The sequence below is a fragment of the Homo sapiens genome, chromosome 11 (genome assembly GCF_000001405.40).
Source record: "Homo sapiens chromosome 11, GRCh38.p14 Primary Assembly".
Classification (NCBI taxonomy): Eukaryota; Metazoa; Chordata; class Mammalia; order Primates; family Hominidae; genus Homo; species Homo sapiens.
Window position 1 is genome coordinate 98,070,700 of NC_000011.10, and position 22,565 is coordinate 98,093,264.

Below are 22,565 nucleotides of genomic sequence, written 5' to 3' on the forward strand. Positions count from 1 at the left end.
CCTAAAGAACTTCCAGTGGGACACTATGTAGAGATGAAAGGCAATGATAGTGATGACCCTGACACTATGTAGACCCAGGCTAATGTGTGTGTTCATGTCTTAGTTTTTTAATACCAAAGAAACAATTTAAAACAAAAATAAGTATACAAAGCTTATAAAGATTGAAATAAAATATTTTTGTGCAGTATACAATGTGTATGTGTTTTAAGCTACATGTTATTACTGAAGAGTCAAAAAGTTTAAAAAGTTAAATAATCTATAGAGTGCTGGGCACGGTGGCTCACACCTGTATTCCCAGCACTTTGGGAGGCTGACATGGGCGGATCACCTGAGGTCAGGAGTTCCAGACCAGCCTGACCAATATGATGAAACCCCGTCTCTATTAAAAATACAAAAATTAGCTGGGCGTGGTGGCAGGTGCCTGTAATCCCAGCTACTCAGGAGGCTAAGACAGGAGAATCGCTTGAACCTGGGAGGCAGAGGTTGCAGTGAGCCGAGATTGCGCCATTGCACTCCAGCCTGGGCAACGAGAGCGAAACTCCGTCTCAAAAAATAAAAATAAAAAAGTCACAGTAGGCTAAAGTTAATTTATTGTAAAGGAAAAAATACAGATTTTTAAATAGATTTAGTGTAGCCTTAGTGTACAGTGTTCAAGAAGTCCAGATATTGTACAGTAATGTCCTCGGCCTTCACATTTACTCACTCCCTCCCTCCCTCACCCAGAGCAACTTCCAGACCTGCAAGCTCCATTTGTGGTAAGTGTCCTGTATATAAAAATTATACAATTTGTTATCTTTTATACCATGTTTAGCATATGTTTTCTATGTTTAGATATTGTATACAAAAGATTACATACATGATTTTATAATTGTCTACAGTATGCAGTACAGAGGGTCCTCAAATAATGTTTTTTGTTATAATGTCAATGAGAAAAAAAAAAATCACTTTCTCTCCAGGTACTCTGGTTTCCTCCAACATCCCAAAGATGTACATGTCACGTGAATTGGTGTGTCTATATGGTCACAGTCTTAGTGTGTGTGGAGGTGTTTGTGAGTGTACCCTCCCACGAGATAGAGCCCTGTCCAGGGCTGGTTTCTGCCTTACGCATGCGCTACAGGGACAGCTTCTACCACCTGGGACCCTAAACTAAAATAAAGGGGTTGAAAAATGAATGAATGGATACAAATTATTGTAAAATAGAAATTCATAAAATATAATCATATAAATGCATGACAATTAACGGTGTAGTATTGTGGCAAGCGACGTCTCACTAACCCAAGCCTCCATAACAACTGTTTCTGTACTGACTAAGTGGTTAAGTTAAATATTAAAAGCCCAATGCCCTTATACAGCGGCTAGGGTATAACAAAAGCTTACCAAGAGTTTTGCCTTGGCCTTAAAGCATGACAAAATAACCAAGGAATTCTTAATAGGACCGATTAGGATTAAACAAGTTTGATTGTGGCTCATCTGCATCTTGTTATTGGGCCATGAGAAATACCAGGCCGACCTTCAGTTTGGTCTGGGAACAGTATGAAAGTGCACAACAAGCCAGCCATGTTTATTACTGTTTGTTTTTGAACTGCATGGTGGTGAGAGATGCTCCTTACAACGTCCGCTTTGTAAAAATTTATTCATTGGTTTAACCCATCCCCACTACAACCGCCAGCACTCGACGATTCACCAAAATTGGGTAAATGATTATCTTACTTGTTTTTATTAATCTTTCTTAAACATATATGTAGACCACATTCAGCTCAATGTTTAATATTAGAAGTGTTTTTGGGTCTTTATGTAGACATTTGGTGATATTTTTGTGACCAGAAATACACTATAGAAACTTAACCCTTAATTATATAACTATGCTATGAAAAAATTGGTTTGTGATATGTCATTTTGCTTAAAAGCACAGTTTCCCAGAACTGACTGATGACATTAAATAGAAACTTACTGTATTTATTTTGTGTGTTTTTGAACTTCATATGAAGGTCATCAAACAGTAAGTATTTTTTGTTCTTCATTTCTTTCCCTCACCACTATATCTGTAAAATCTATCTGTGTAGTTCCTTGCAGTTTGTAGCTGTATCATTGCTGTGTATATTTTATTCACTTGTATGAATACATTTCAGAAGTGTTTTTGTAATCATAAGTGTAAATTATGTTGCATAATTTCCAAATTAAGTTGCATAGACACTACACCCCAGAATATTGTATTTAATGTGCATGAAGATTCTAAATAAATTGTTAATTTTCTGGGATCAATGATTACCTACAAAATGTCATTATTCATTGTCTTTCAGTGGAGAACAAACTGGGTACTTTCTTTTGAAAGACTTACACAAGTTCTAGCCACTGTGTTGATCTTTATTCTTTGTAATCAAGATCATTTTCTTAATAAGGCAAGAAGAGAGGATAAGAGGGAGGCTGGTATTCTTCAGTGTAGCTAGTCAGCAAGAACCCTATTCTTTTGTTTGCCTTTTATTTTGGCGACTAAAAATTTTGATTTGTATGCTTATGTGTATTTGTTTTATAAAAATAATCTATTAGCATGCATAATAGATTAGTGCTCTCAGTAGTATTTTTTGTGAATTACATAGAAGAAATTTGGGAAATATTTTTCCAACTACCACATAATCAGAGTTGGATAAAAGTTCATACAAGAGAGGAAAAGAAAACAAATATTTCATTATTTTTAGCTTGCAATGCTTTGAAAAAATCACATACTGTTGTAACTCTAAATAGATATAATATCAGACAGATTCCCCTTACTCTTTTTAGAGTAAGATTGAGATTCCTTGGAGAACTTATTAAGGGAAGAATGTTGGGACAATTCAGTTGATGTGCTGCAGTTAATCCTGAGGTTGCGATTGATACTCATAATCTCTATCCTTCACAACAATTTTAAATTCCCCTTTCCTTCAACTGGCAATTTTGCTGATTAGATAATTTGTCTGAAAAGGTAACCTAGACTCTTTCATAGGGTCTGAAATTCTGTCAAGGTATATTTATTAGTCCATGTACATTCCACTTGTTTATTTACAGTTTAAAATGGCTATAGAAGTAATAAGCGATACACCCGAAGATCTCCTGTGTGTTAAACATATTCTCCCCTATGCGCAGGAAAATCAGGGTTAGTAACCTTTACCATTAGAGTAACTTATCTTTGTGTCTGCTGGTCTAGTGGCACAAGGAACCCATAGTGATTCAGTGACAACTATAGCTTTGTGCTCAATGGGACTCTAAATATTTAGTGGCGAGAATTCCTTTTCTGGGAAATAGGACATCACGAGCCCGGTGTTTCTAAAGATGACAAGCACAAATCCCTTAATGGATTATTGGGAAAGATGGTGAAGATATCAAACTTCCCGCTTTTGTTCTCCAGACCCATGCATCCTACTATATAAAAGTCATTGCTTTAAAATATATAGTGAATACTCAATCATAGTGCCCCACCTTTGCCTGCAGTCATCTTCAAGCTGGTATTCAGCATTTTTCAGCATCATGGTCTACTTTTTGTTTAAAGTAGTCAGTTGCAAAAATCAGCGTTGACATATTGGCAGTGGTTAATGCCTTATCTCCTTGTTCAGAGCCAGATTACAGATCTGGGAGGAAATCATGTAAATGGACTATAGTATCTATTGAGCCATAGTTGCAATATGTGGCAAGGCTGCATTTACCACAGATGGGGCCTATTTTCCTGCCCTGCAGCACACTCAAAACTAGCAGCCTTTCACATAATCCAACAACAGGTCAGAACCCCATTTTAAAATATGAAAGGTGCTCACCCCAAAATCTGAAGAAGCCTAACAATTAACGAGATTTCATCTTCATGTAATGTCATGAAGGTGCAATAAACCATCCTTTATTTTGGAAGAAGTGTCACAATATGCCCTAGACCACTAGACCTCTAAATATTTTAATGTGGCTCCTTGAATCAGTGTAGGTTTTATCTTTCCCCCTTTGAAGTACATGTGTCTTATGATGATCTCAAAAGTACTGGCTGTATCTTGTTCATTTGGCCCAACAAACACAATGTCAAAAATAAAAGCAGATCAGTGTGATGTTCTAATAGAATGCCCAAAGGGTCCAGATACCTCCAAATTATATTCTAGTAGAGGTTGGGGAAAAAGCCTGGAACAAGATCATAAATATGTTATGTTTTCTACCTCATGAGTGCAAAATGCTTTTGGTCCTTCATTCGGATGGGGACAAAAATAGTGTATTCTCTTTATCACTGGTCACATAAGGTGACAGGTGCTGTGCTAATTTGCTGTAACAAAAATACCACATCTGCCAAGCAGTGCAAATAAATTTACTACCTGGTTGAGTTTGCAGTAGTCCACTGTTATCTCTCTAGATCATTCTTGGAGTTTGAAGAAGTCAGACAAGTATAATAAATGAATATTTGATGGGAACCACCACCCTTACATCCTTTGGTCTTTAAGATTGACATAAATTTTTGCTCTTCCTCCTGGAATACAATGTTGCTTTTTTATTTTCTGTATTACTGGATATGGGGAGCAGTTTCAAGAATTTCCTGCTTACCCTACCACCAGTGATAATAATTTCTATAATTTCTATAGCTTAGGTCAGGTTTCTAAAAAAAAAAAAAAAGAAAGAAAGAAAGAAAAAAAAGCATCTAACCTGGGAATTTTTTTTCAAAGATTTAGGAAATGCTCTCAAGGAGAATGGGTGTGGAATGAGGGAAGGAAGATTGGGTAGAGGGTAAAAAGCTAAGCAGGTATTGTCTAGGAGGTATCAGGCTAGTTTTAGTGGGATCTCATAGGAAAGATCTGGAGCATGACTTGCACATGTAATCCCCTATTGTTTCAAGGGAGTGGGCTTTTAGTACAGGTATGTTTGTCAATCACCAGCCACAGGCTGCTTACTGTGATAAGTGGGAGCATAATCTCCAGAGTTAGGCAGCTCCTATTTGACCAAGGAAAGTTCTTTGGAGAAGAAGGAAACTGGTCTATATGAGCAGGCAGTATTCTAGGCAACATGAAGATGGGTGCACTGCCACAGTTAAAGGAATCTTGACAAAGCACCAATAGTATCCAGTACAAGATTTCAAACATCAATCATGTTGTTGATGCACTGCAGGTGTAATCAGTTAGAGTTTACAGTGTGATAACAACTACATTCCAAACCCAATAACACAGCAACAACATTTCTTTATTTATCATATTTCATTTCAACTCTTGGTGAACCTATGGCTTTTTTCCTTTCTAACAGGATCCAGGTTGGATAAAATATTACCGGGCTTGGACAAACAGGCAGAAGAAAAGAACTGAAACAATTGCTTTTGTTTATCTATCTATCTATCTATCTATCTATCTATCTATCTATCTATCTATCTATCTGGTTTGAAATTCTGAAGAGATTTCTGAAATTCTGAAGGATTCCACCCTCCCACCATCTGCCCCACCTTCCTTCCCCTCTCCCCGCTTCTTTTTCTCCACCCTTGATCTGTTCTAGGGTAGACAATCCTCAGTATGATGTTCTGCATGGCCCTTGGCTCTGATCCTCTTATAGGTACTTTTCTTTCCCACTGTCTTCATTGGCTACATCTGATTTTGGAGACTCTTCTTTCCCCAGAGTCTGAGAAGCTCTTTCGCTCTGTTTCCTGGTCATAGGAAACTGGGTGCCCCAAGGGTTATTTCACATTTTTTAACAGTCACAAATTCTTTTGGTCTAGGATGTTGGTTATTTTAACAGTTAAACTTTTCAAAAGCAATAGTGGGCTTTAAATTTATTTGATTACAATCTACCACAGGTACTGATAATCATACCAATAATTCTTTATAAGATTTTTTTCTTCCCTCTGGGCTTAAATGCTGTTATGTTGAGCCTATGAAGCTTCTAACAGATATGTTAGTCTTAAGCCATTTTGTTTAATTGAAAGGGATGAATCAATGCAACATTAGTAGGTGTTTGTTTTTAATGTTTTAATAGACATAACCTTGATATGATTCGTGCTTGAGGCTGAATTTTAATTGTTTTTTTGTTGTTGCTCAAGGCCTTCATAGTTTATCTTTTACCAGTTGGAGTTGAGAAACAGTTCTATTTTCTAATTCTGCAAATTCTGGCCTTTGCTAGATTTCTGTGCTGCTTTTTATGTTTGAGAAGTGGTCTAATGGTTCCTGAACTCATCTTTTTCTAGGAATACTTGTCAATACATAGCAATAATAATCAAATAATGTTAACAACATACTAGTTTTCCTTTTACTCCCTTAAATTCACAAGTCAATTAAAGAAAAGCATTAGCAGACCTTGAGTCATTTATTATAGGGATTGAATTGATCCCTCACAGGGCTGCAGTCTCTGAGAGAGTTGGATTATTTCCTAGGTCATCATTACTCTTACGGTATAGACCCTATAGAATCTCATCCTAAATTGTGGGGAGTTTACAAGTGTATCCCCTCCATAAGGAGCAAAGGACTCCAATATTTGTTCCCATTAGCCCTGCAACTATGAATATCCTACCAACATAGATGGTTTCTAATGTGTTCAGTAAATAATAATTCCATTTTGTATAATGTAAGTATGCATGTATGAATGTATTGACTGGCTGATTTAAAGATCCTTTGTGCCCTATGTAGAATTTCTGTGGTTTTACTTGTCTCTCTTCATCCTTTTTTATATATTCTACAATACTAGTAAAAGGGCTTAATTTCAGGACAGAAACACCTCTCATAATGAGATACCAGTTCTCTATGCTTGTGGTTACTTTTTTAAAATCATATTTTGCCTCTTTGCATGTTTTCTCCTTTACTATTTTTATGATTTAGAAAGCAATTGCTCAGTATTTTTTTATTTCTTATTTTCTTTCATTGCTTCAAATCTTGACAGAAAGGCATGCATTTTTAAATGACTCAATTTTGTTTGCCTGCTTTCATCAGTTTAAAAACATTAAGTCCAAATTGGCATTTCCTTCTCTTTTACATATTATTTTTGTCATTACTATTCTAAGTTCAAATGTGTTTAATGTTGTTAGTATAAAATTTTGTTATAATTTCTCTTTTTTTTGCATAGTGGAAAATTTCAACTTGTAGCTTTTCTTTTAAAAAACTTTCAGTCATTGGATATGTGTGAGCGTGAGATAACTTCATTTTCTATTTTAAATATGTTATTTATCCAAACAAAACAACTTCATGAAGTTTAAATAGAATGCACAATTATCACGATGTTAAAGTATGCCCCTGGCCAACAGACAAAATGGGCTCCCTGTGGCTAACTGAGGTGCTTGACATTAAAACAGAATCTGGTGGCCAAAGCTGGGTGTGGGAGCAATCAAATACTCTGTCCTAGGAAAGATATTTTAAAAGTGGCACAGGACCTTCCTTTCTACAATCAAGTAAAACCAGTTCCGGTTGTGAGTGCCATGATAAACTGTAGCTGGAATAACCGCCCTCCATCCCCAAACAATGGCCTTTCAAAGAAATACCTGACAGAGACTTCTTGTTTTGGGCTTGGAAACCACCCAATCAGGGCTAAACACTTTGGACCAATCAGAATTAAACAAGTTCGATCACTTTTTTTTGCATAAACAGACCTGATAGAGGACTGGGGTGAGAACTTTCCCTATTTAAACCAGACCCTTCCTTAGTTCCTTAGAGAGCACACTTTCACTTCTACTAGAGGTTGTGTCTCCCTAATCTGCAGATTGTTTCTTGATAGAAAATAGGGCTCTCTCTTTTTCCTCTGCAGTTCTCAGTCTTTTTGTTAACAATGATATTCCAATTGCTAAAGTTGGGTTCTTCAGAAAAAAAAAATTAATAAAGCAACTAAAATTTAAAACCCATTAGGAATGTTAAATGTGCATAACAATACTCTTTCTATGACTAATCAATAACATTTTAAAATATGTTGTAAATGAGAAAAATTTTTCTCCTTTCTTGTATTTTATTTTGACTAAAAGTCTAAGATGAGGAATTGCTTTTATGGCCTATTGATTAATATATTTTCTTACTTTAGAAACTAGGAACTAAAACCTAGAGACAACAGATATCATATCTACGAAGGTCAGAGGGGTATATTCATTTTATTAAAAGATAAGATTTAAGAATCATACTTTGAAATAAATTTAACACGTATTTCCTAATTTGTAGATTGCTTATTAAAGGGATCATTTGTGAAAATTAGATAAATAAATGTATAAAAGCTATGAGTGCTTACAATCTGTAAAGAGAATACTATTTTAATTTATAGAATTGACTATAATATTTAGAAGTATCTGTGTTACTATAAATAATTAGTTTAAAAATCAGACATGATATAATATGAATAGTTATTCATGCATTTAAAAGACTGGTTTAGGGCTGGGCTCAGTGGCTTATGCCTGCAATCCCAGCACTTTGCTAGGGAAAGATGGGAGGATGGCTGGAGCCCAGCAATTTGAGACCAGTCTGGGAAAACCATAGTGAGACTCTGTCTCTACAAAAAAATTAAAAAATAAGCCAAGCATGGTGGTGTGTGCCCATAGTCCCAGCCACTTGGGAGGCTGAGATAGGAAGAGACCTTGAGACCATGAGACCAGGGCTTCAGAGCCATTATTGTACTCCTGCACTCCAGCCTGAGTGACAGGGAGAGAAAGCCCCTGTTTCAAAAAAATGAAAAGTAAAAAAATAAAAATAAAAGACTAAATTAGTTGCTTAATTACTTTCAGCTTCTGTTTCTAGTTTGCAAATTTGAGTTAAAAACACCAAAATTATAGGATCATTGTGAGAACTAAAAGTGGACTATAAGGTATCAGTAATTTACAAAAGTGATTGCTATTTATATAGTGCCTTCACCAATCTAGATCAATTGGCTAAGTACTAAGTACAATCATGCTACAAAAAAAAAATGACAACAAAAACCTTGATATAGTTTTTATTTTAAAAATTGCTTTACTTTTTATATTGCCTTGTTCTTTTTCACACTGGACAGTGCCAGAGACATGAAGCTGCACTGTATGGTCCATTAGCCCATTCAAGAAGATCCTGTTTCATTTCCAGATATGCTTTATGATATGTCATACTAATATCTCTTGAGTTTCACATTCCTTTTTTTCCTGTGGCTTTCTAGACCCATAAAATAGAAACACATTTTAAAATCAAATGATATTATTTTAAAATAGTTTAGTATCTGATATGGTTTGGATCTGTGTCCCCACCCAAATCTCCTGCTGAAATGTAATCCCCAGTGCTGGAGGTGAGGCCTGGTGGGAGGTGATTGAATCATGGGAAAGTTTCTAATAGTTTAACACCATCCCCCTAGTACTGTTCTTGTGTTGGAGTTCTTGTGAGATCTGGTTGTTTAAAAATGTGTGGCACCTCTCCCTGCTCCTTCCTCCTGCTCTGGCCATGTAAGATGTGCCTGCCTCTCTTTCAACTTTTTCCAAGATTGTAAGTTTCCTAAGGCCTCTCCCAAAGCCAAGCACATGCTGCCATGCTTTCTGTAGAGTCTGCGGAACTGTGAGCCAATTAAACCTCTTTTCCTTATAAATTACCCAGTCTTAGGTAGTTCTTTATAGCAATGCAAGAACTGACTAATACAGAAAATTGGTACCAAGAAGTAGAGCATTCCTATAAAGATACTTGAAAATATGGAAGCAACTTTGGAACTGGGTAATGAGCAGAAGTTTGAAGAGTATGGAGGGCTCAGAAGAAGACAGGAAAATGAGAGAAAGTTTGGAACTTCCTTGAGATCTGTTAAATTGTTGTGACCAAAATGCTGGTAGTGTTTTTGACAGTGAAGTTCAGCCTGAGGACGTCTCTGATGGAGATGAAGAATTTGTTGGGAACTGGAGTGAAGGTCACTTTTGTTATGTGTTAGCAAAGAGGTTGGCAGCATTGTGCCTCTACTCTAGGGACCTATGGAACTTTAAACTTGAGAGTGATGAATTAGGGCATCTGATGGAAGAAATATCTAAGCAGCACAGCATTCAGTATGTGGACCAACTGCTTCTAAAAGCTTATCTTATATGCATTAGCAAAGAAATGACCTGAAACTGGAACTTATATTTAAAAGGAAAGCAGAGAGTAAAAGTTTGAAAAATTTGCAGTCCAACACTGTGATAGAAAATAAAAGCCCATTTTCCAGGAGCAATTCAAGTCAGCTGCAGAAATTTGCATAACTAAAAGGAAAGCAAGTGCTGATAGGCAAGACAATAAGGAAGAGGCCTGGAGGGCATTTCAGAGACTTCTGAGGCAGCCCTTCCCATCACAGGCCTGGAGACATAGGAGGAAAGAATGGTTTTGGGGGCCAGGACGATGACCCCACAGCCCTGTGCAGCCTTGGTATGCTGATTCTCACATCCCAATCACTCCAGTTCTAGCCATGGTTCAAAGGGACCCGTGTACTGCTTGGGCCACTGCTTCAGAGGGTACAAGCTGTAAGCCTTGGTGGCTTCCACATGGTGTTAAGTTTGTGGGTACACAGAGTGTAAGAGTTGAGGTTAGGGAGCCTCCACCTAGATTTCAGAGGATGTATGGAAAAGCTTGGATGTTCAGGCAGAAGCCTGATACAGCACAGAGCCCTCATGGAGAACCTCAACTAGGGAAGTGTGGAGGGGAAATGTGGGGTTGGAATCCCCACACAGAGTCCCAACTGGAGCACTGCGTGATGGAGGTGTGAGAAGAGGGCCACCATCCTCCACACCCTGGAATTGTAAGTCCACCAACACGCTTGCACTGTGTACTTGGAAAAGCTGTAAGCACTCAATGCCAGCCCTTGAGAGAAGCCATAAAGGCACAGCTGCCCAAGGCCTTGGGAGCCAACCCTTTGCATCAGTGTGCTCTAGTTGTGAGATATGGAATCAAATAAGATTATTTTCGAGCTTTAAGATTGCATGACTGCTCTGCTGGGTTTTGGACTTGCATGAGTCATGTAGCCCCCCTTTTTGTGGCTGACTGCTTCATTTTGGAATGGGAGTATTTACCCAGTGCCTGTACCCCCATTGTATCTTGGAAGTAACTAACTTGTTTTTTATTTTACAGGCTCAGAGGTAGAAGAAGCTTGCCTTGTCTTAGATGAGACTTTGGATTGTGGACTTTTGAGTTAATGCTAGACTGAGTTAAGACTTTCAGGGACTGTTTGGAAGGCAGGATTTTATATTGCAAGGTGTAAAGGACGTGGGATTTGGGAGGGGCCAGGAGCAGAATAATATGATTTGGATTTGTGCCCCTTTCCAAATTTCATGTTGAAATGTGATCCTGAAAGCTGGAGGTGGGGCCTGGTGGGAGGTGATTTCTAATGGGGGTGGTTTCTAATGGTTTAGCACCATTGCCCTAGTGCTGAGGTCTGGTTGTTTAAAAGTATGTGGCAGTTTCACCCTCTCTTTCTTCCTCCTACTCTGGTCATGTAAGATGTTCCTGCTTCCCCCTTTGCCTTCTGCCATGATTTTAAGTTTCCTGAGGCCTCCCCAGAAGCCAAACAGATACTGCCATGCTTACCTATGGAACTGTGAGCCAATTAAACCTCGTTTCTTTATAAGTTACCCAGTCTCAAGTATTTTTAACAATGTGAAAAAGGACTAACACAGGACCTGTTTTCTGGAGTTACTTCTACATCTCATAATCTATATATAACCATTGGTGTAATAATTTGCATCTGTCAAAATATCCCTGAAATGTCCCCAGTAGTACTTTGGCAAGGTAAAGGAAAACTGAACATGCCTACACATATGCTCTCTAAACAAAAGTTATAAAGATTCTGGTAGGATATATCTCTCTAGCTTTCTTATCTATTTATGTTTTAGGAGACAGGCCAGAAAATAGACAGAATGATAATATCAAGGTCAGCAGGAAGCTTTTTTTGTAAGTTCAAGCTATATTTCTAAGAGGAAAATTTTAGTTTCTATTCACAGATGTCAAAAGCAAACCCATCTGTGCTATGTACTATTACATACATGGAAAAACAGTCTCTGACACTTACACGTTTTGCAGTTGGCTTATAAATTATTTCCTGGTTACTATTTTGTATTTTCGTTGGGATGTTGAATACACATTTCATACAATTTTCTTTGTATTACTTGTACAAAAACTAATAGAATTCTCATTAATAATCACAATTGTATAAAAATCGTAAGTGAGATTTTTCAAAGATCAGAATATCTAAGAATATAACCATGGGTGCTTGCTAATGTATTCCCAGACTTAATTACCAAACTATTGAATCCATACTTTGGAAGTGAACCTGAGAATATGCATGTTTACAAAGCTCTTACAACTGAGTTTTCCAGGTGTTATTTTACTGGTTTATATTGTATTATATGCTGAAAATCAGAAAATGAAAGAATAACTGTTTATGATAGTTTATATATTTTATATGTAATGATTTACCAATTTAAGCCAAAATCCTTTAAAAAAGTTGTAAAGAAACTCCAATTTATAAAATAAATTATCTTTTTACAAATCTATAGGTCAAACTTTTTCTATATACACCTGTGTTCAACACTAAAAGTAAAAGAAATGAGATGTAAGGAAGTGTTGAGGCCTGAAATTCCAAGTTCCATTCAGAATTCATATAGGAAAGGATGAACAAATTGGATATTGCATAAATTAAAACTTTTCCATGAAAAATAAATCATAAACAAAATAAAAAAGTTAATGCTCAAATAAAAGTTTTTGTTCATAATAGACAATATTTTAATGTTTAACATATATATGTAAATCAACATTTAAAAAGACAAAGCAATAAAATTAAATAGGCTTTGGGTAAGAATAGGATATTCATGGAAAATATTTAAAACAAATGAATGTAAAGAAAGATTATTCATATCCTTAGTAATCAGAGAAACTAAAATGAAATAGGGAAATTTAAAGTTAAATTAAAATTGTATACCTTAGATAAGCAAATAAAAGTATAAATTCTGAGTTGTCAAAACATAGGCTTTTTCATAACACTGATAGTGATTATAGGGATTATAAATTAAAATAGCTTTTTGAAGAATTTGACAGGTTATTAAAATGTATAAGTCCTTTGCTTCAACAACTCTACTTCTACGAGTCTAAGCCAAAGAATTATTAACATATAACCATAATGACAATGTATGTTGAAAAGTATTTATTTCTGCTATTTTGTTTGAATGTAAAAAAAATCTATAAAGAAATGGTTGCACACATACAGTTCATTCATTATACTGAACTCAATAAAAAAGTAAAATAATAGAATATATTTATAAGTACTATCCTGAAATGATTTCTACCCCACGTGGTTAAGCAAAAAGACAACTCATAGAAAATATAAATATTTTGGTCCTATTTATGAAAAAAACAAGTATTTATAACCATGAGGAAGAATGTTGTGGAAGCCTATCTATCAAGCTAGTAACATTAGTTGTCACCAAAAAGTGGAACAAAGTTAGATAAGATATTCTAACTTTTTATCTTGTAGTTTTTGAAATATTAAATAATTGGTACCAATTGAAAATTTAAAGAATATTTAAAAGAACAGGGATGATATGAATTAACAACCACAAAATGCTAATCTTTAATTCTTGGCAATTGATGGAGTCTGATTCTCCATCAGTAGTTATGTATCCTTTTCTGGGAAGGAAAACAGAAATGAATGGGGATCAAATATGGGTGACTTCAAAGTTTACGTGATAGACAGGTTTATATTCTGTATTGTTTTTCTTTTTCCCTTGTAATTTCTCACTGTTACCAGAAGCTAAATATGTCAACTTCTATTGAAGTACTTTATACCACATATATTTCAAAAATCTTAGATCTTCTTCTTTTTCCAAATCAAAGCTTTATAATTAAAAAGGGGTAAATAAATATCAATTGAATATCTTCTATATTGTAGTCACTGTTCTGGGATATTAAAATGCAGCAGAAAAGAAAATAGACCAAAACCTCTGCTTTCATAATGCAGGGAGAGGCTCAATAAACAAACATGTAAAATCTAAACATGTAAAATCTAAATTGTTTCAAATGTTTCTTTATTCATTATGGGTAAAACAAATAGGGAAGTGGAATAGCAGTGTCAAGCTAAGGCAGTGAGTTTGCTACTTAAAATAGGATGATCAAACAAGCTTCAATGAGGAGATAAGAAGAGATAAAAAGGAATGGAAAGATTAAAACCTTGCTGATATTCCAGAAAAGGACAGCAGAGAAAACCCTGGCAAAGGACCTGAGTCAGGAGTGTGGTTGGCATATTTTAGAAACAACATGGAAATAAGTCTCATTACAGTAGAGTGAGCAAGGGGGTGAAGAGTAGAAACAACATCACCTGTGTTGTGTCTGTATGTGTGTGTGTATTAGAGGAGCACAATATATGTAGTCCTATGTGTGTGTGTGTGTATATATGTATTTATTTATATTTATATATTATATATATATTTAGTGTATATATATTTTCTTTAGTGTATATATATATTTTATATATATATATTTAGTGTGTGTATATATATATATATGCACACACTAAAGGATCAGTAAACTATACGTAGGAGCCTGCTACCTGTTTTAGTAAATAAACTTGTATGAAGATACAGCCATACCCATTCATTATGTGTATGTGTATTAGAGGAGCACAGTATATATAGTACTTTAGTACAGGATCAGTAAACTATACGTAGGAGCCTGCTACCTGTTTTAGTAAATAAACTTGTATGAAGATACAGCCATACTTATTCATTATGTATTGTCCATGGCTGATTTCATGCTATGAAACAGAGTTGAGTAGTTGCAACAGAGACCGAATGGCCCACAAAGTCTGAAATATTACCAGCTGGCCTTTTTCAGTTTGCTGGCCCTGACTGAAGGCCACTGTAAGGGCTTTGCCTTTTATTTGTAAGTCAGATGCGAAGCCAGATGCTTGATCCTTATTGTTTTTACGTCTTGGGGTCATTATAAGCATTTTGGGTTTACTCTCTGTGTTATTAGAAGTCTTTGAAGATTGTTAATTAGGGCAGTGATCAAAAGGATGACTATAGCTATTTTGTGGCGAATATATTGTAAGAAAGCAAGCATGAATGCACACAGAATAATTGTATGGTTTAAATGTAGTATAAATTAAAAAAAAAACAAACATGGAGGCTTCACCAAAGGAGATAATATTGGGAAGAAGAAATGTACATTAATTGGTAATTTCTTTTTTTTCTTTTTCTTTTCTTTTTTTTTTTTTTTTTTTTTTGAGATGGAGTCTCTCTCTCTTGTCGCCCAGGCTGGAGTGCAGTGGCACGATGTCGGCTCACTGCAAGCTCCGCCTCCTGGGTACCCGCCATTCTCCTGCCTCAGCCTCCAGAGTAGCTGGGATTACAGGCACCTGCCACCACGCTCGGCTAATTTTTTGTATTTTTTAGCAGAGACGAGGTTTCACTGTGTTAGCCAGGATGGTCTCGATCTCCTGACCTCGTGATCTGCCCGCCTCGGCCTCCTAAAGTGCTGGGATTACAGTTGTGAGGCTACCGTGCCCGGCCTCAATGGTAATTTCTAAAAAATTGAACAGGGTGGTGAGAAAAAGTTAAAAATCAAGAATGACTCCTATTTATGTCTTCAGTAATTGCTGATATATAATGGATATAAGAATTCAAGAAGGCATAAATTGATAGAAAATCTGGGAGTCGTTGGTCTACAGAAAGTAAATACTTTGAAGACATTGGATGATATAATCTAAGAAAAAATGTTGAAGAAATAGAGAGTTCTTAGATGTGTAGCAGGAAAACAGGATGAGAGCAGAAGACCCATGAAAGTATATTGATCAGGGTCCACAAAGGAAAACATGACAGCTTTCAGCTCCATGATTAGAGACTTGGTGTACTCAGTAGTTCATTTTAACAATAGTGGGAGTAAGGAGCACTGGTACAATAAACACAGAACAGTTTGGGAGTTAAGAATTTGCAAATAATTGATTTTAATAATATACCATGAAATGTAAACTGTGTAAGAAAATGAGTAAGGCAAGAAGAATATAATGGATCTTGAAAAAGTAGCAGGATAAATGAACTCTATACACTTGAAAACAAATCTCAACATAGAATTCGTGTTTACCAGAGTACTCATGGCCTCAATAAGTATTTATCACCCAAAGTCGAGCTTTAACTTTCCTTTATTTGTCATAAGGACCATAACTGTATATGATTTTAATAACTGCTTGTATTTATACATCATTTTACAATTTAGAAGATATTCACGCATGTATCAGAATGTCCAAAAGTTAACAAAATAGCAAATGAAGCGTTGAACATTGTCTTAGAGACTTAATAAATGAAGGGTAATCCAACAGTAAAGAAAATACCAGCAGAGCATACATCAGATAAGTCTTAAGCTACAAAACAGAAAATTCTCTAAATAAAAATTGGGTTAAAATATGCTAAAATTGGACTTTCCTACTCTAAGAATCCCAATTATTTGTGCTGCATTTTAATCATGTGAAGATGTCCTGTAAATATTGGATCATTAGTAAAACCAAAGTACTTTTTGCCCATGCAATTCTTTGAAAAGGAACAATTATTTTGTAAGTTATATGCATTTAGTAAGACATGAACCTCAGTGTTTACTGAAGTCCACTCCTAAGACATGTACTCCTTGTTCTTCTAAAAATGCCTTGGAGTTTGAGGATGACAGTAACATTGAGATTCAACTATTAGATGACAATGGGAAAATCTTGTTGATAAGATTTTGCGAAATAGGTGGACTCTGTACTTGGGTGGACAAAATTCATATTTTTTCTTTTAAGGAGGAAAATATACTACATGTCTCTTGCCTTGGATACAATAAGGTCCCACTCTGTTACAGTAGAAATGTAAATTAAACATTATATTTCAAAGCTTGTCTTATAAATGTAAGCACAGAATCAGCAAGTTAATCTCAAATGTAAATATGTCTATTCCTGCATAAATGGTGCATGTGCACAAGCACTTGGTAGCAGAGCATTCTCAACAATTTGCTGAACTCTTTCATGTGATTGCACACCCAGCAAACACAGCCATTTTCCACTTAACTAAGCAGCTTCAGAGCCAGAGCAGAGACACTATTTATTTCAGTGTCACCTATAGTTAAGGTTACGTCAAGATTTCTATTATGAACCTGTTTTCGGAGCTTCATACCTTTGTAATGGTTCTAATCACAGTGAAGCCAAATCTCTCTAAAAGCACATCAAGCAACATGCATTTTGAAAAAGCAAGCCAAATATGTAAGGCTAAGAAAACACTCCAATATTAAAAGGATTGCAATTTCTACTGAGCTTATAAGTATTTTTAGCAAGGTAAGTGAACAATAAAAGTACAATTTTTAAGTAAAACAATGACCTGCACTTATATAAAAATAGACTGACGGGAGAAATGTCCATGGTAATTTAGACAGTATTAGATTTGAAAATGGTGCTCTCAGCTTTTCGGTCAAGGTTATCCATGCTGCATCTCTCTCTCCAACCCCCTGTACAATATTATTATTCATTTCACAAAATTGTTATTATGTGCATGTTAATGCCTAGTCCATATACAATATTCTATTCTTGATTTTTCCTCTTTACTCTGTCACCAATTCTACATTAAATTTTTTTGTTTTCAAATAAGGGAAAATTGCTTTCAGCAACCATGGCAAATGTGCAACACTGAATTTCTCCCTTCCTTCGTAGTGTGCACCAAAGAAGGCCAGAAATATTTGCATGGGACATGCTAATTTCTGTTGAGAAATATCAAATCCTCAAGTGGCCTTTAGCCTTTATAAAAATCCATATGTGCTCACCTTTTATCATTCACTTAATGTTTTAGCTTTCTCACCTACCACTTCATGTTTTTATTTTTCCGTTAGGGGCTTTGGCAGTTGCAAAAATGACTAATACATTGCTTTAGTAAATCTTGTGCACATTCCAGATCATTGCTTGGTATATCTACCCATGTATCACTTTGAGAAGATCATTCCTTTTCTCTTTGATTTTCCTCTTCTGTCATTTCTCCTATCTGTGACACTATGACTAGACGTTTGCTATGTGATCAAAGCTCTGAAATGTCAAGGAGAATAAGAACAGAAAATGAGAAAAATGGCTTATAGAATTTGGCATATAGAATATTTGATACATTTTAAGAAGCAGTTTGAGAGAATAGCAAGGAAAATAACTGTTTTCTACATGAATAAAGAATGGACAGCTTGTGAGGAAGCTAATTGTAACATAGAACTACTTCTTCAATATATTTTAACACAAAGTGACATCTGGAGTTATTCAGGATGCAAAAAAAAATAGAGAAGAAATAGGGGACTTGATCATGTTATTAGGTTACAGGAGACAAAAGAGGGATAGCGATAATGTGTCACATGCTCACATACTTGAGGGTGTGTGTGTGTTTTAATTTGCATTCTCCCAATAGGAGAACCTATATACACAAACATGAGTGTAGGCAGTTTATTTGAGATATGGTTCCAAAAAGGTAAAGTGAGGAGACAAGGAAAGTGAGATGAAGAAGTAGGAAGATTTAATATCAGAATTTATTTTATTTTATTTTATTTATTTATTTTTTGAGATGGCGTGTCACTCTGTCACTCAGGCTGGAGTACAGTGGTGCGATCTCAGTTCACTGCAACTTCCGCCTCCCAGGTTCAAGTGATTCTCCTGGCTCAGCCTCCCAAGTAGCTGTGACTACAGGCGCATAGTACACATGCGGCTAATTATTTGTATTTTTAGTAGAGATAGGGTTTCACTGTGTTAGCCAGGATGGTCTCAATCTCCTGACCTCATGATCTGCCTACCTCGGCCTTCCAAAGTGCTGGGATTACAGGCGTGAGCCACTGCACCCAGCCAATATCAGAATATTTTTGAGATAATTTGTGTGAGCCATGGGGGCTTGATCCAGGCAACCTCTAGGAAGTATCTAGGATGCTTTCCAGAATTACGCATTTGAGATAAGGACCATTGTAGTATTTCTCTATTAGCTCTAATCCCTCAGTATTTGTGGGGGCTCCTGGGGACCTAACTCCTCTATATGGCCTGGCCGTGCTCATATTGAGCCCAGTATAGTCTGTCGTGTGTAGAAGACGTCAGTTGCTAGCAGCATGAGATAAGTCTGAGTTTAAAATGCAGCTGTGGTTGCCATTAAAATGAGGACATGTGATACAGGATCACATGTGTCTGTACAGTGAGTACTACTGAAACTGGTACAAATTAGAAATAAATCAGGGAAAAGACAAAATATAATATGGTAGTCTTAGAAATATGAGAGATTATTTAGAAGAATGGAAAATGAAGATAAGGAGAATAACCAGTCCTTCTCCATGGCCTATGACTTTGGGTCATTGGGAAAATGAGGGACTCAACTAGAAGGGCTGCATGACAAGTGATGCTGGAAAAGGAAAAAACAGCTTTCAGTGAAGATGAGCAGGGGATAAATGTTATGGAAAAACAAAGTGAAGGAGTGGCCACATAATTAGAGATGGCCACAGTTCACATGGGACAAGTGCTTAGAGTTGAGATGGCACTGATGGTAGAAATACATTCTAGGGAAATGAAAAGTCTAAAAAGACTGAGTGTGGAGATTTAAAGGGTAAACGGTAACTTTGTTAGAAAAAGAGACTGTAATTTTTTAGTGTTGAAGACAAAAGATGAACATAAACTGCTGTACACTGTACAGCAGGTGCTTGATATATACTGTTCTTTTTTTTTTTTTTCGAGACAGAGTCTTGCTCTGTCGCCCAAACTGGAGTGCAGTGGTGCGATCTCGGCTCACTGCAACCTCCACCTCCCAGGTTCAAGCGATTCTCCTGCCTCAGCCTCCCGAGTAGCTGGGATTACAGGCGCATGCCACCACACCGGGCTAATATTTGTATTCTTAGTAGAGACAGGGTTTCACCATGTTGGCCAGGCTGGTCTCAACGCAACTCTTTTTTTTTTTTTTTTTTTTTTTTTGAGACGGAGTCTCGCTCTGTCGCCCAGGCTGGAGTTCAGTGGCGCAATCTCAGCTCACTGCAAGATCAGCCCCCCAGGTTCATGCCATTCTCCTGCCTCAGCCCCCCAAGTAGCTGGGACTACAGGCGCCCACCACCACGCCCGGCTAATTTTTTGTATTTTTAGTAGAGGCTGGGTTTCACCGTGTTAGGCAGGATGGTCTCGATCTCCTGACCTCATGATCTGCCCACCTTGGCCTCCTAAAGTGCTAGGATTACAGGCGTGAGCCACCATGCCTGGCTGGTCTTGAACTCTTAACCTCGTGATCCACCTGCCTCGGCCTCCCAAAGTGCTGGGATTACAGGCGTGAGCCACCACGCTCAGCCCAATATATTCTGTTCTTACCAACTCTGTGTGTTAGCTATAATTACTCTTACTTTATTTGAGGGAATTGAGGCCAGAGGCACATGTAGAATGTACATAGAGATCTTCCTGTCCACAAAGCCTTTACTCATCCACTTTATCATGTGAATTCCTTTGGAAACAGGAACAAGTTGATAATTGGACTGTAACTATATTTATCACTTCTGGGCAGAAAGAATTGACAGCATAAAGAGAGCAATTGATTTGCTGTTGTTTTAGTGCTGGTTCAGGCACGCACAAAGAAAAAGCTAGAAAAAATAGTTGCTAAGGACTGTGTGTGTAGGGGGATGAAGGAGAGCTAGTGGAAGTAGGGTGAGAGAAAGGACTCAGATAAGGGAGAGTGAGCAGAATGTCAAAACAGGAGCCAGAGAGACAGATGGACTTTAGCCAGATTGGTGGATATGCCATTTGGAGAAGCAAAGCAGAAAGCTGTTCTTAAAATCATATCAAGAAAAATGTTTTGGGCTGCCTCCTTCTTACTGCTGTATACTAGTCAACAAATACCACTGAGTGATGTTATGTTTCTAGTGGTGACAGAACAGAAACATTCTTCTCAAGCCCATTTTCTATTGAGGAGGAAATATATAAACAAGTATTTAAAGAAAATTGTGGTAAGTGACATAAAGGAAATGTACAATGTATTATGACATACAATTTAGGATTCTTTTCCAGTTTGAGGCTTAGAGAAGTAACTCCTGGGTTGATAAATGGAATGAACAACTGGAATAGAATCTAGGAAACTGGAAGTCCAGCAGCAGCTCTGGCATTTGCTAGTTTTGTAACCGTGGTAATTTAATTTTCTTACTCTGTTTCCTTATTGGAAAAGTAAGACTAGTAAGGCCAAATCATTCTGTAAAACATTTCTGGATAAAGAATTGTGTCATTATTTTGTAAGGAAATACTTTAAAACTAAGGCATCGAAAAATATTTACAAATAATAATATTAAACAAGAAAAGCTCATTGTTCCTAGCACAGTGGTAGAAATGCACTTGAATTAGCAGACTGAAGCTGAGTTTATTGAAAACAATGCTTCTGCCAGAATCTGACAGATGCATCATGGTGTGACACCTCCTAAGCTGTCACTGGTTTACCAGTTACCCAAAGCAATAATTTCTGATAGGTCTTCTTCAATACCCAGGTAGTGTTTGGGATACTGACCTTATTAGGGAATAGCAGAAACAGCAAGACAGAAGTACAAGAGCATAGAAGCAATATTAGTTGTCAGCAGCCCTGTCAGAACAGTTAAGTGTAGCATGCTTTAAGATATGTACCCAAATACTTTGGATTTTGCTTTTAGTGATTTTAACCGCATGAGGTGCTTTGTTCCCAATCAAAAGAAACGTTAAATAATAATGATACAAATTTTTAAAAGGAATAATGAAACCCTGCACTTTTTGAAAGGCTTGCCTGTGAAAAAACCCCTGGAGCATCATCCACATAAAGTACTGCCAAATTCTATTTCTAGACCAAATTTTCTTAGTCCTTAGGGAACAGCTGTCAAATGGTACTTTTAGTGACATTTAGACAAAGCCATAAAGTCTATTGATAACTTTTAACGAATAAAGTCAACTGAATGAATACTTGTTTACTTGCCTTGGAAATGGAAAAAAAAAACCTGGTATTTCTTGGCATTCTAATTTCATACTGTGAAAAAAAACGGAGAAAGCAAAACTATATGAATTAACAATAGCCGTGGTTTTACAGCACCTCCATATAAATGGTAGTCATTCATATCATGAGAGCAAGGGACTCGGTTAGGTAACCTAAGTGGTATACCAATTGCCTCTCTGAACGCTTCTGAGGAAATGATGTACAGCAATAAATTATTTAAAAGCAATGTAATTCCAATTATAAGATTCATGAAAAAAAGTGGGATTTTTTGGTCTTTAAACAGTTTCTTTCTGAAGCTCTGTAATTGTAAGCTGTTAAAAGTTTATATATATGCGTATAAAATCATAAACACAAAATCCCTGTTTTTATAATATACTAGGAAATTCAGAAATAAGAAGTCACACTTCTAAATTTAAGATACTGCTTTTATCTCACTATTCAAATACACAGTGTTATCCAAGTTTACTTTTATATGACTAAGCATTAGATACATATTAATTGTGTTAAATTCTTGATTTTGGAACTGGTAACTTTATTAACATCATATTTAATTTCTTCATCAAAATAAAGATATATTTTAGAGTTCACTTAAGAGTTTTTAATGTAGTTCCTCTATCTTATTTAGAAATAAAAGCATATTTTAAAATATTCATTCATTCATTTAACAAAGTATATTTATATATCTGAAATTATGCTGGGTCTGGCAATAAGACGAAAA

General features: G+C 36.3%; 1 annotated feature.

Annotated features, from left to right (window-relative positions):
- Positions 9,843-10,412: an enhancer, noted in NCBI's record as "NANOG hESC enhancer chr11:97951270-97951839 (GRCh37/hg19 assembly coordinates)". NCBI's record gives its function as "activates a minimal SCP1, AML or CMV promoter by ChIP-STARR-seq in naive H9 embryonic stem cells {active_cell/tissue: H9 hESC(naive)}" and the evidence as "EXISTENCE:reporter gene assay evidence [ECO:0000049][PMID:30033119]".